Raw genomic sequence first — 14153 nt, forward strand, 5'->3', positions numbered from 1 at the left:
TTATTATAACTATAGACAAGTAAATTGTATATTTTTTTCTTACCATAAAAGTCTAAACTCATGAAAGTAGTTTATATGTGCTCTCTTAAAAATCACTTTATTTAAGCTATGAAATTTGATTATGCTGTAATGTGGCCAGGCCTGTACACTTCCTTCATTACTTGTTTTTTGTCTGTCTCCATGTCAGCTCCATGAAGAAGGAGATGCTGTGTGTTTTGCTTACTGTAGTAGCCCTGGATTCTAGGACAGTACCTGGCTTAAGAAGCTTAAGAATTATTTGTTGAATAAACAGTTTTTTCTGAAATTGATGAAATAATAAAAAATGACTGCACATTCCCATATCAAGAATTTGAGAAGTTAACATTTTATGTTTTTGTTTTTGGTCTAAGTACAAGAGACCTAGTTTTATTGTGACTCAGTTTCTGGAATAGTTGCCCCGGATTTCGAGTGCTTTTCTCCTTACCTCCACCCTCCCCCATGTTTTAATGCAGCCCTCCAAAAATATTTACTGAGTGTGGACTCTAGACCAGGGCCTGTGCTAGGATACAAAGATGAATGAGGCACCACCCTTATCTTCGAGTAGTATATGTTTTATTTTATTTTATTTTTTTCCCCTGCTGCCTCCCTTGAGTAGTACATGTTTTAGTAAGGGGAACAGACACTAAAGAGTCCTGGTAATGATGAGCAAAGTACTGCATGAGTAAGTATCTGGGGGGCAAGTGTCCCCACTAGGACTCCTGTCAGATCTGGAAAAGGCCTGAGGAATCTGATACATGACTTAATGCAGCGTATACTTGCAGCCTGAAAACTAAGTAATGACAAAATAGACATTCTTGTCAGTGTGAGCCATTCTCTGAGTCCAAGGGGAGTACATAATTCAAACCAGAATTGGTCATTTTGGAGTTTGCACTCTTAGCAGTATACAGTGGAGTGAAATTTAAGAATCAATTTAATTTCTTTTCAGTTTTTATGTACATAAAACCTGCTTACTACAAGAGACCCAGTTTATTATTTTGTGTTGGTTAACATTCATAAGTATATTTCATCATAATAAGGCTCCGTGAAATTAGTCATTTTATCATTTGCCAATAAAGACATATATCTGAAAATAAATGTTCCTGAACCTGAGCTTGTGCTTTTTTATTCCTCTTAAAGTGGTGTCAATATCAAAATGCCAGTCAACTCCAGTGGACCTGATTGGGTAACTGTGATTCCCAGGAGAATAAAAGGTAAAAAAAAGAATAAGCTTGATGATTTGTTGTTTTTCTTACTAACTGGGTTGAGGCTCTGTCGTTTCATTTATGTTGCAAAAACTTATATGCCATAGTTACTTCTGGGCACAATTGAAAATATTAAAAGTACTGTTTGATTAAAAAAATCAGATCTTATGTGCATAATTCTGAGTTTTGCTATTTATTGTTATTTTATTTTTATTTTTTTGAGACAGGGTCTTGCTCTGTTACCTAGGCTGGAGTGCAGTGGCGCAATCTTTACTCACTGCAGCCTTGATCTCCTAGGCTCAATTGATCCTCCCATCTCAGCCTCCCGAGTAGCTGGGACTACAGGCACACACCACCACACCTGGCTGATTTTTGCATTTTTTTTTTGCAGAGACAAATTTTTGCCATGTTGCCCAGGATGGTCTTGAATTCTTGAGCTCAAGCAATCCTCCCACCTTGGCCTCCCAAAGTGCTGGGATTACAGACATGTGCACGGCCGAGTTTTGCTATTTAAGCTCATGTAAAAGTTTTCTTCTCTTGCCAGCCCTCTTCTGTTTGGCTCCTCAAGAGTCTTTTGAACAACCTTGTCCAATATGATAGCAACTAGTCACTTGTAGTGATTCAAATTTAAATCAATTAAGATTAAATAAAATTCAAAATCTAGTTATTTAATCACACATGCCCAATAACTATATGTAGACAGCATTTTATGTAGAATTTATCCATCATCTCAAAAAGTTGTGTTGGACATTGCTGCTCTAGAGATATGGGTAAAATTATCATGGAAATGTTTAAATCATCACAAAAAGTTGTGTTGGACATTGCTGCTCTAGAGATATGGGTAAAATTATCATGGAAATGTTTAAAATAACATTGGGTTGGAGAATAGCAGCTCTTCTCAAAGTGTGGTCTGTGGATCAGTGGCATCAGCATTACCAGGCAACCTGATAGAATTGCAAATTCTCAGGTCCTATCTCAGATGACTGAAACAGAAACCCTGGCTGGTGGGGCTGAGCAAGAAAGTTTTAACAAACTTTTCGGGTGACTCTGATTTATTGGTGTAGAATATTAATAGTAAAAGAACAAAATTCAGAGCAGTAAATGTAAATTTTGCAGAATAGATATAATTAGCTATCGTGATTTTTAGAAAGAAGGGATGAATGTTACTAGTGAGGCTTATGCAGATGGCGGGCAAGGTCCTTCTAGCTTTTAAAAGTATATTAACTAATAGTACTGCACTCTGCAGATGTTGGCAAACCCTTTTGCTGCAGGGGCTTGATATTTAATACCTGTGGATCAAGCAGAGTGGATATTAGCCACAAGCCTTGTATGAGTGGTGGGGAAGGAACTGAAGAGCAAGGACCATCTCAAGGGGCAGCCTCTTTTCAGTTTCTGCTGCTTTGTTACCATGTAGAAACAAACCCTGTATGCCCAGCTCCGTAGATTTGTTTTTCCAAGAGAAACCAGAAACTTTGATTTTTTAACTGTGATATCTCCATATTTTAGAACATTGACATCCAATTCAAGACTTTGAAAATATTGTATGGGCTAAATAAAATCTGTTTGGCCCATATGCAGCCAGGGCACTGCCAGTTTATATCTCTTGTCTCTAGTATCATATGCCACAAGAATTCCCAGTCTTTTCCTGATGAAGAGCTGTTTTTGATTTACTTGAACCAAATGAATTACTAATTTTAGAGGATATATATATATATATATATATATATATATATATATATGAGACATTTATCTTTTATCTGTTTGGGCCTCAACCCTGAGGTCAAGATGTCAGTAGACAAGGTGTCCTTCAGTAGTACTGCGCTCTAAACACTCTCCATGTCCGACATCTTCAGGAGGCCCTGTCTCCCACTACTGGATCTGTCCTTCTTCTCACAGACTCGACTGGCTTGCCCTTATTGTGATGTCCCTAGGTGTCCCAGGGATGGTCAGTGGGAGGAACTTTGGAAAGTTTACCTGTACCTGACAAGTCTTGAGGATTAGCCAGGAAGTGGCTGTGGGTTTATGATGTACTCTTCTGGTTAGAGGGAAGATAGATTTGGTAATTAGTGAGCCTTTTGATATATTTTTAGAGGAAGAAAGTAACTATGAATTAGTAGGAGCAGAATATCCTGGTTTTGAATAGGAAAACCATCTTGTTGTAACAGGTATATAACTGGAAAGAAAAGAGAAGGGCAATTGATTTATGGACTATGGAAGGAACCCAGCTTGGCAGAACTTCATTGAATTTCACTCTGTGGACCAGCAGGGGGCATTCAAAGACCCTAAATCAAGGGCTCATAATTTTTTTTCCTTCTTTTGCTTCATTCTATGCAAACATTCTGTTTCTGCTTAAACTTTCACCAACTAATTTTAGCATTCATCAAGGTTCATCAGATCTTGCCTGTGGCAATGATTTCTGTGGAATTCTAATTGTGACTTTTAATGTCTCTCATTCTTTCAACATTTATTAGTTGGAATTCTTTTGCAAAGAAGAGTTGTCCCTTCTTCATTTTAAGTATTTATATCAGTGTAGACTCATGAAAATTTCATTCCTTGGAATGAAGGAAAAAAAATTATAATCCAATCCAATTCAATCATTATTTTATTTGCTTTTATTTTTGCTCAAATTGTTCCAGTTTTGGCAGTTGGGGAACACTTTCAGTTTGGCTTCTTTGTGCCCTTTTGTCATCCTGTGTGCTGTCATCCTTTTGTTTGTTTTGAGCACTTCCTTAGTTTCTGGCACCACAAGATATTTGAGGCTTGTCTTGTATTTTCTTTGCCTTAGCCTTAGAAGGGGTTTACAGTATTTCTACTTTTATTTCACTTATGAATCCTATATTTTGAAGTTTTTTCCCTGTGAAATTGTATTTATGTATTAGCTAATTAATATTCTTACAAGGTAAAACTATTGTTAAGATTCATATTTAGATTGCCTGAGATTGGCAGTGCTACTGCTACTTGTGGGCATAATTCCAGTCAAAAGCAAGGAAAAACAGTTTTTAGTTCTAGCTGACTACCTTTTTAAGAGCAAGCATCTGGTTTATGTCAGGTTTTCCCAGTGCCAGAATTACTGCTGAGTTTTCATTAGTACCTGTAATGTAGTCCCCAGATTATCACAGCTGAGTGGCTCAGGGACCTTGACAGATTCTGACCTCATCAACAACTTGAGGTTATATTTTTTGGGGGAACTTACTGAGAGTTTAGAATAAGACTTGATCTAATAGCAACAGTATAGATAAGAACAATGAAGTTTTACATTTGTGTGTATCTTTGTAGCTATGGCAGGTTGAATACTAAGATGACTTCCAGTGATCTATGCTCTTACATAATCTCCTTCCCCTTGAGTTGTGGCAGCGACATGTAAATATGATGGTATATAATTCCTATGATTTGATTATGTTATATGACAAAGTTGACTTTAAGAGAGTGGCATTATCCTAGGTAGACCTGACCTTAGATCAGATAAGCCCTTAACAGGGGCCATGTTCTTCCTGAAGAAATTCAAAGTGTAAGAAGGATTCCATGTGAGGGAGATTCTTTGTTGTTGGTTTTAAAGATGAAGGGGGCCACATGGCTAGGAATATAGGCAACTTCTAGTAGCTGGAGAGCATCTCCTGGCTGATAACCATCAAGGAAATGGGAAACTCAGTCTTACAACCACAAGTAACTGAATTCTGGCAGCAACTTGAATGAACTTTTTTTGTTGTTTTTTTTTGTTTGTTTGTTTTTGAGACAGAGTCTTGCTCTGTTGCCCAGGCTGGAGTGCAGTGGTGCGATCCTGGCTCACTGCAAACCTCTGCCTCCTGTGTTCAAGCGATTCTCGTGCCTCAGCCTCCCAAGTACCTGGGATTACAGCCACACCTGGCTAATTTTTCTGTTTTTAGTAGAGACGGGGTTTTCACTGTGTTGGCCAGGCTGGTCTCGAACTCCTGAGCTCAAGCGATCTACCCACCTTGCCCTCCCAAAGTGCTGGGATTACATGCGTGAGCCACGCGCCCGGCCTTGAATGACCTTTTTGAAGGCTTTTCTCCAGAGAACACAGCCCTGATAATAGCCTGATTCAACTTGTGAGACTCTGAGGAGAGAACAGAGTTATGCGATGTCCCAAACTCCTGACCTGCAGGTCTGTGGGTTAATAAATGTCTCTTGTTTTTAAGCTACTAAGTTTGTGGTGATGTGTTACACAGCAATAGAAAACTAATAAAATAACTACCATCTAGATCAAGTTATTGAACATTTAGAACATATAGGATGTTTCCAGGACCCTAGCATGCGCTTTACTATTCACACTATTACAGTATTGAATTTTCACAATAACCCTTCAAAATAACTAGTAGTTGACCCATTTTATAGATGATGTGACCAAAGTCCAGAGATTTCACTTATTGTGTCATCGTTTTGAGTCCTTCTTTGTTAGACTCTGAGGGTATAGTTAGGGAATAAGATGAAAATTTAAATGATTTCTGAAGTCTCAAGAGTTGGAAATGTGGAGTCAGACTTAGAGTAGGTCCCGTGACTCTTCATCTAGCATTTTCCCTACTGCCCCTTAACCATGTTTAGGAGGTATGGCCAATGATGTCTTGATGCTTTGGTTTGCCTGCAGTAGTTAATTTTTTTTTTTTTTTTTTTTTTTTGAGAAGGTGTCTCGCTCTGTCGCCCAGGCTGGAGTGCAGTAGTGTGATCTCGGCTCATTAAAACTTCTGCCTCCTGGGTTCAAGCAATTCTTCTGCCTCAGCTTCCCAAGTAGCTACCATTGCAGGCACAATGCCACCATGCCTGGCTAATTTTTGTATTTTTAGTAAAGATGTGGTTTTGTATGTTGGCCAGCCTGGTCTGAAACTCCTGACCTCAAGTGATCCGCCTGCCTTGGCTTCCTAAAGTGTTGGGATTACAGGTGTGAGCCACCACTGTACCTGGCCTGCAGTAGTGAAATTTATCAACCTTCTAGTATACAAATGATGAAGTGAATGATAGTGTTTCATGTTATGCAGTAAAAACGAAACTAGTCATTTTGTGGATGAGACCTCATCTGATGTTGATTTCTAGAAAATGGCAGATAAATGTTATAACAAATGGGACAAAGCTATTTTATTTTTAAAAAATTTAATTATCTGGATGCAGATGTCAAAGGGACAAAGCTATTTTAAAGACAACTACTTTCCAATTACTGGAAAGAATAATTTGATACAGAATATCTTTAATTTCGTTAACCGGGAAAATCAAAGGGCCCATGTTCTGCATATAAAACTACTAACTGATAGCATTTGAGGGAAGGAAGCCTCCTCAATATATCAGCAAAATGTATTTCTTTGTAAGTGGTACCACCTCTACCACTACCTGCCTCTACGCTTATTGAGAAACTTTGCCAAGTCACTCTGTGACTTGCTTTCTTCATCTTTAAAAGGTATTTCGACGGCCGGGCGCAGTGGCTCATGCCTGTAATCCCAGGACTTTGGGAGGCCGAGGCGGGTGGGTCATGAGGTCAGGAGATGAGACCATTCTGGCTAACACGGTGAAACCCCATCTCTACTAAAAATGCAAAAAACTAGCCGGGCGTGGTGGCAGGCGCCTGTAGTCCCAGCTACTCAGGAGGCTGAGGCAGGAGAATGGCGTGAACCCGGGAGGCGGAGGTTGCAGTGAGCCGAGATTGCGCCACTGCACTCCAGTCTGGGTGACAGAGTGAGACTCCGTCTCAAAAAAAAAAAAAAAAAAAAAAAAAAAAAAAGATATTTGGACTAGCTACTCTCTAAGGTCCCATTCAACAGTCTATGAATTTATAGAATTTCTATCTATATAGCATTCTTAGCTTACCTCTGTAAACTGCAGAGGTTTTAGGGGACTAAAATATATAGGAAAGAAAATTAAATTTCCAAGGTTTCATAGGGGGAATTCAAGGAGTAAACTCAAACTCAAGCCATTACAATTACTGTGTAGCTGGGCCCTTCTCATATTCCCAGCACTTGACAGAGTGTTCCTAACCAGCTCAATATACACTATCCTCATTCCTCATCCTGCTGAGGGCTGTCCCTCCCTACTGACCTTATCCCAAGCTTCCTATGCTCATGGCAGTCTCTGGTGCAGGGAATTGGTTGATCCCATTTCTTCTGTCTTGTTTTCCCCCTTATAAACTGTGTACTCCCCTTTGTCCTGCCTTTTACTGTTCTTAATTCTGCAGACAATTCCATACCATAAAATTAATGGACAGGTTTGCTGCACATCTCACCCCGCAGCCCTCCCTGCCCCGCCCCACCTCAATTCACGTTGTGTCCTTTTCGTCCAACTCTTTCTGGATGATTTAGGGAAATTTATCTCTCTGCCTTTTTCTCTTTCGTTTTGTTCCATCTTTGGCCCAGACAGCCCTCATTATGGCTAATGGATTACATGGCGTGACACCCTTTGGAGGAAAATGCAAACCATGGGCTTTAAAGAGAAGCCAAGAAATTTTAGAGATGCAGGGACATTACTTTCAAATAATAAAAAATATCCCTTCTGGTTTTGCCCAAATCTTCATATCTGCTTTTACAACCACCTCTGTTTAAACTTCTTCCTTCACCAGCAATTTTCAAGATAACCATAAAGTTGAGTAATAACTCATTTTTATTTTTTGTTTTAATTATTTTTATTCCATGTGAATAGTACATTAGGGGTTATATTATCTATTTAGGAGACTTTCATATCTCAGTTATCTTACATGAACTGCATTGTGAGTTCCAAGAAACACCATTTAAACAGCCACAGACTTCTTAAAAATCATATTAAAATTGTCAGGAAATGTTTTTGTCCCAGTTGACCATAAGGGGGCAACATAGGTATGTGCATTTCATTTAAAAAATATGATTTTTTTCTCATGTAGCATGCAGCATGTTTAAAGAATTAATGTCAGATTTAGTAATTGATTTGCTTTCCTTAGCTCTGGTAGTAAATATAATTAACATTTGAATGGAAATGGTAATTGTTTCCTGTGTGACATATACTTTTCTTTATAACACATATTTGACACAGAATAACCGAGTCTACCGAATTAACAGTGGTAAAAAATTGTAACATCAAAATAACTTTTAATTCTCATTCTAGTAAATGTTTTCTGTGGGCCCTAGGTGTCGTCTCTGGAGCTCTCTAACTATGCAGCCTCGATGTACTGATATAATGAGGGAGCTTTGCACAAGGTGCAGTAACATATTAAAGCTACACTTGATAACATGTTGAGAAATTATTTTTGAACAAGCCTAGGAAATGTTTACCCTACATGCCCCCGACAATTTTTCTTTGATAATCGCATTTGCCAAATAAAGCTTTTAAAATCAGCGTTCAGTTTCCTTTTCTACTTGGGCTCTGAACCTGCAAAGAATTAGCAGATGCCGAAGAAAAAAAGATTAGATATGCACTCTGTGTCAAATAGAACATCATCTTTGGAGGGATAAAAACCAAAATAATTTGGAGTAACACAGATAATGTCAAGTCAAATAAGCTAAAAGTAGTCACAAATAGGGGAGTCACTTAAATTTAAATTTCTGAGTTGTGTAAGCATTTAGAGTCCAAATTGTGGCTTAATAGGTGACTATAGAATGACTGGACTTTGATAAAGGTTGTGTAAGAAAATGATATAACCTGGTGGTTTCTTGAAGATTGTAGGTTTGAATAATTGTTAGAAATGAATAAATATATACCTTCAAGAAAAAAAAAAAGAAATGGTTAACATCTATAAACATCTGTTTTTGAGAAGTGATCTAGCACACAGTGGTTAAGATCATGGGCTTTGGGCTCACTTGCTTGGGCCAGGTGCTGGCTTTGCTCCTTACTAGCTCAGCTCTGGGACCTTGGTCAAGTTGTTTAGCTGTTCTGAAAGGTAGGGATAGTGATAGGACCTACTTCAAAGAGTTACTGTGAGCATATGAGATAATACGTTTGCTCAGAATAGTGTCTGAGGCAGAGTAAACTTGCAAGAAATATTAGCCATCACAGTCTGTTTTGAAGCATGTAACGTGTGGCATTTTCTACAGGAGGTGTTAGGGCAGAAGGATGTTGACTTTCCCTCTGAAAGGTCGTTTTGCTTGTGTTATCAAGTGTAACTAGGTTACAACCAGGAGGTACACATTGGTGATGTATTTTTAGCATTGTTCATTATATATAAAGACTTTCTGAACCTTTTGTATAATGGAGAATAATCCGTTAGATTGTCTGCCATTAGTTTGTTCTCCATATTAAGTGGTGTTTTTTTGGAATTAAAATTAAAATTTGAAGATGGGATTCATGGATTCTAACTTTGCTTTTAATGGGCTGAAAACAGTGAACTAATACTACTCTGTATGTGTAAAGTATTAGTCTAAGTTGTTACTTGCCTCGCAGGCATGTGGGTGAGAAACTGTTCTCTTCTGGGAGAATGCTGGATAAATGCTTATGTCCACACATTTCCTTTGGTTTTGTCTTCCTTTATATTTGGCTTTGATAAAAACATATGTAATCAGGCTGGGCATGGTGGCTCACGCCTGTAATTCTAGCACTTTGGGAGGTCGAGGCGGGCGGATCACTTGAGATCAGAAGTTTGAGATCAGCCTGGCCAACATAGTGAAACCCCATCTGTACTAAAAGTGCAAAAATTGGCCAGGCGTGGTGGCTCACGCCTGTAATCCCAGCACTTTGGGAGGCCGAGGTGGGTGATCACAACGTCAAGAGATTGAGACCATCTTGGCCAACGTGATGAAACCCTATCTCTACTAAAAATACAAAAATTAACTGGGTGTGGTGGTACACGCCTGTACTCCCAGCTACTCGGGAGGCTGAGGCAGGAGAATCGCTTGAACCCAGGAGGCAGAGGTTGCAGTGAGCTGAGATCATGCCACTGCACTCCAGCCTGGCGACAGAGCGAGACTCTGTCTCGGAAAAAAAAAAAGCAAAACTTAGCCAGGCATGGTAATGCGTGCCTGTAATCCCAGTTACTTGGGAGGCTGAGGCAGGAGAATCACTTGAACCCAGGAGGCGGAGGTTGCAGTGAGCCGAGATTGTGCCACTGCACTCCAGCCTGGGCAAAAAGAGTGAGACTCCATCTCAAAAAAAATGTAAGCAGAGGGAATGCTGAAAGTCCCTCCTTTCCTTTCTGTCCACCAATACCTTCATGCCCATTTCAGATCTTCCCATTTTTGTACAAAGGAAAACCTTTTTTTTTTTTAATTTTACTTTTAAGTTCTGGGATACATGTGCAGAATGTGCAGGTTTATTACATAGGTATACATGTAGTTTGCTGCACCTGTCAACCCATCATCTAGGTTTTAAGCCTTGTATTTGTCCTAATGCTCTCCCTCCCCTTCCCCCCAACCCCCCGACAGGCCACGGTGTGTGATGTTCCTCTCCCTGTGTCCATGTGTTCTCATTGTTCAACTCCTACTTATGAGTGAGAACATGTGGTGTTTGGTTTTCTGTTCCTGTGTTAGTTTGCTGAGAATGATGACTTCCAGCTTCATCCATGTCCCTGCAAAGGACATGAACTCATTCTTTTTTATGGCTGTGGAAAACCTTTTTTTAATCAGGAGAAAAGTCTGGGATTTGAGGTCTGACAGCAGGAAATGTTTCCCACATGCTATCAGGCTAACAAATACATGGGCATAATTGTTTCTTGGGACATTTTTCATCTATTGTTGGAGGAGAATATTAAAATATTTGTTTTTCTTTTTTCTTTGCAGAAACTAACAGTCTAGAACTATCTCAAGGCTCAGGAACTTTTCCTTCTGGGTATTATTATAAAGACCAGTGGAGGCCCAGAAAGTTTAAGATGCGTCAGTTTAATGACCCTGACAACATTACAGAGTGCTTACAAAGAAAAGTGGTGCATTTATTTGGTGACTCAACAATCAGGCAATGGTTTGAATACCTTACTACATTTGTTCCAGGTTGGTACTGTGCCTTTTGTTTCGTAACTCTTTCCCACATCAGCTTTGAAATAAGCAGACTCACTCAGGTGCCTGAAGAAAGGTTATCAGGTGAGGAAACATATATTTCTGTGTAGGACTAAAGAGGTACCCAAACCCTGGAGAGATGTGTGACAGTTTCTGATCAATAGCTGTGTTGTGTTGTACTCATGGAAGCACTGGGTTCTCATTGAGGTTTATGTCACTGATGAGCTGTATGACTTTGGACAAGTCATTTACTTTTTAGGGCTTCATTTCTCCATGTGTGAGATGAGACAGCTGGACCATGTCACTTCACAGGTGTCTTTCCCTTCTAATATTCTGGGTTGTAAAATAGAGGTGGGCATTTCCAGTTGTTTCTCCCCTAGTTCTGTCTCATCCAACTCCAAGTTTATAGTAGCTTTGAGTAGAAGGAAGCAGCCAGACCTATGGTAGTCCATATTGCATCCTTGCAGCAAAGCCATCCCTGTGTCATCCATTGGGCCTACCATTGGTGTGACTCTGAGATGGAGTTGGCTCCTCCTGAGGGAGTCTGGGTAAGTTCCAGCATTCTTAGCTTCTTGATTTCTCTGCTTGGCTCTGGGGCTGTTCTCCAGACTCAGAACAAAACCCCAGTGGTTGGAGGCCCACCCCTTCTTCACAAGGGCATTCTTTTCTTTCTGGAAGGGGTATGGATGAGGTAAGGAAGGAGGGATCCTGAAGGAGCAGAAATAAAGACCCTGCTTACAATTTAGAGAGCTGATAGTTTTGTGGGAACTGTTTTTAATGGCCATGTGTGGGCAAGGCTTTTAATAAAGTAAAGCCTGATGGTTTGTTGTGAGTTGTTTGTGATTGTTTTTATCAGCCTTTTTATTTATTATGTCAACTTAGTTTTATTGATTGATTGATTGAGATGAGGTCTCACTCTCTCACCCAGGCTGGAGTGCAATGGTGTGATCATGGCTCACTGCAGCCTCAACCTCCTGGGCTCAAGCGATCCTCCCACCTCAGCCTCCCAAGCATTTGGGACCACAGGCGTGAGCCACTGCACTCAGCTAATTTTTTTGTATTTTTTGTAGAGACATGGTCTCACTGTGTTGCTCAGGCTAGTCTCGAATTCTCATGCTCAAGCAGTCCGCCCGCCTCAACCTCCCAAAGTGCTGATGGCTCACACCTGGCCTCAACTTAGTTTTAAATTTAATTTTTAGAAGGAAAGGGGAAGTAGATATTGTCCCCAAAAGTGTAAAGTCAGTTCCACTTTTTGTTTTGCTTGTTTTTTAAATTGAAACAGATATAACTAAGCTTTGTTTGATAAAGTATAATTTGTACATTAGGAGAAGGGAAATACTTTGTATGGCTTGATGCTAGACAAGGTTTGATGTGATGCTGACCAGTGAGGGCCTTCCTAGGTGTCTGTAGTTGCTTGCTTCTTAAATTCTAATGATGTAGCTTGGTATTTCCTTTGATGACAAGGATCACACTGACTGTTTTCATCACGTCCCACCATATACTTTACAGACATATCTTCACCTGATAAAAATAAAGCCTGTGTCAGTGCTTGATCTAATCAAAAGAAAGTGGTAGCTTGAGATTTTATTCAGTTAAAATGGGGCTAAATGCTAAGTAGTAGTTAGGTAGGAAAATCTAGAAGAGAAACCTGGAAATGCAAGGAGAAAAAAATGAAACCTACTTTAACCCTTAAGAATATATGACAATTTATATATATATATATATATATATATATATATATATATATTTTTTTTTTTTTTTTTTTTTTTTTTTTTTGAGATGGTGTCTCACTCTGTCACCCAGGCTGGAGTGCAGTGGTGTGATCTCTACTCACTAAAACCTCTGCCTCGCAGGTTCATGTGATTCTCCTGCCTCAGCCTCCCAAGTAGCTGAGATTACAGGCACCTGACACCATGCCTGGCTAATTTTTGTATTTTTAGTAGAGACGGGTTTCACCGTGTTGGCCAGGCTGGTCTCAAACTTCTGACCTCAAGTGAGCTGCTTGCTTTGCCCTCCCAAAGTGCTGGGATTATGGGCATGAGCCACCTTGCCCATCCTATAGGACAATTATATTCTGATGTTACTTTTTCAAAATTGACCGTGAACTCACTGAGGGCAAGGACTATATAGCTTATCCATCTGAGCATTGCTGGCTTGTAGCACCTATAGTAGTGGGCACTAAGTAGGTGCTAAGGAAATATTAGTTAAATTGGATTGTCAACATTTACTTAAGGCACTTAAGGGAATATTTAGGGATATGAGACACATCTTCTTTCCTCATGGGTGCACGTACTAAGTGATGAATTATACAGAGTTTTTTAGGAATAACAAGGACTGCCACTGATTCCTGGGACCTTCAGAATGTCTCCAGGCAACTGGACCTTGAAATACAACTTAGAGGGAGAAAAGGGAATTTTTAATTTGCGATGCTATCTGTGTTATTCTCATGATAGAGATGGAAGTTTTTCTGTAGGACATTAACATGATTTTTCATCTACAGGGTAAAATTGAAAGTCAAAAGAAACAGGGTTGCTTCTTTCTTTTGCTTATTGCAAAAAGAGGTGTTTGTTTTCATTTTTCAAAATTACATTTGAACTTGCCTTAATTTTATTTTTAAAAACATTCATTTTTAATCAACAGATAAGTATATTTATGGGGTACAATGTGATATTTTATATATATACATTGTGGAATTAGTACATCAAGTAAATTAACATATCCATCACCTCACATACTTACTTTTTTATAGTGAGAATATTTAAAATCTCTTCTTTTAGCAGTTTTGAAATATATGATACATGATTATTTACTATGGTTACCATGTTGTGCAATAGATGTCTAAAACATTTTCCTTCTGAGACCTTGATTAATATTTCCCCATTGCACCTACCCGTCTAGCAGCCCTCTGGTAACCACTATTCTACTCTCTACTTCAACTTTTTTAAGTTCCACATATAAGTCAGTATAAGGCAAATATTGCATGAGGTTCCACATCAAAGACATCTGTGTGTGGCTTATTTCACTTAGCATAATGTCCTCTAGT

At 39.2% G+C, this 14153-nt stretch overlaps 1 protein-coding gene across 12 annotated transcripts in view; it reads left to right on the forward strand.

Moving 5' to 3' along the window:
* NXPE3 (neurexophilin and PC-esterase domain family member 3) overlaps positions 1-14153 on the forward strand; it is a 49021-nt gene that overhangs the window by 26687 nt on the left and 8181 nt on the right. For 8 of the 12 annotated variants that reach the window (NM_001348992.2, NM_001348994.2, NM_001348993.2 and 5 more), the window contains 2 exons: positions 1156-1229; positions 10898-11104. In NM_001348992.2, coding sequence (NP_001335921.1) covers positions 1156-1229; positions 10898-11104 — 281 coding nt within the window. The remainder of the gene's footprint in view (positions 1-1155; positions 1230-10897; positions 11105-14153) is intronic. The other 4 variants (NM_001348997.2, NM_001348996.2, NM_001348998.2 and 1 more) reach the window with 2 other exon arrangements.

The sequence above is a fragment of the Homo sapiens genome, chromosome 3, assembly GCF_000001405.40.
Source record: "Homo sapiens chromosome 3, GRCh38.p14 Primary Assembly".
In the NCBI taxonomy this organism is placed as follows: domain Eukaryota; kingdom Metazoa; phylum Chordata; class Mammalia; order Primates; family Hominidae; genus Homo; species Homo sapiens.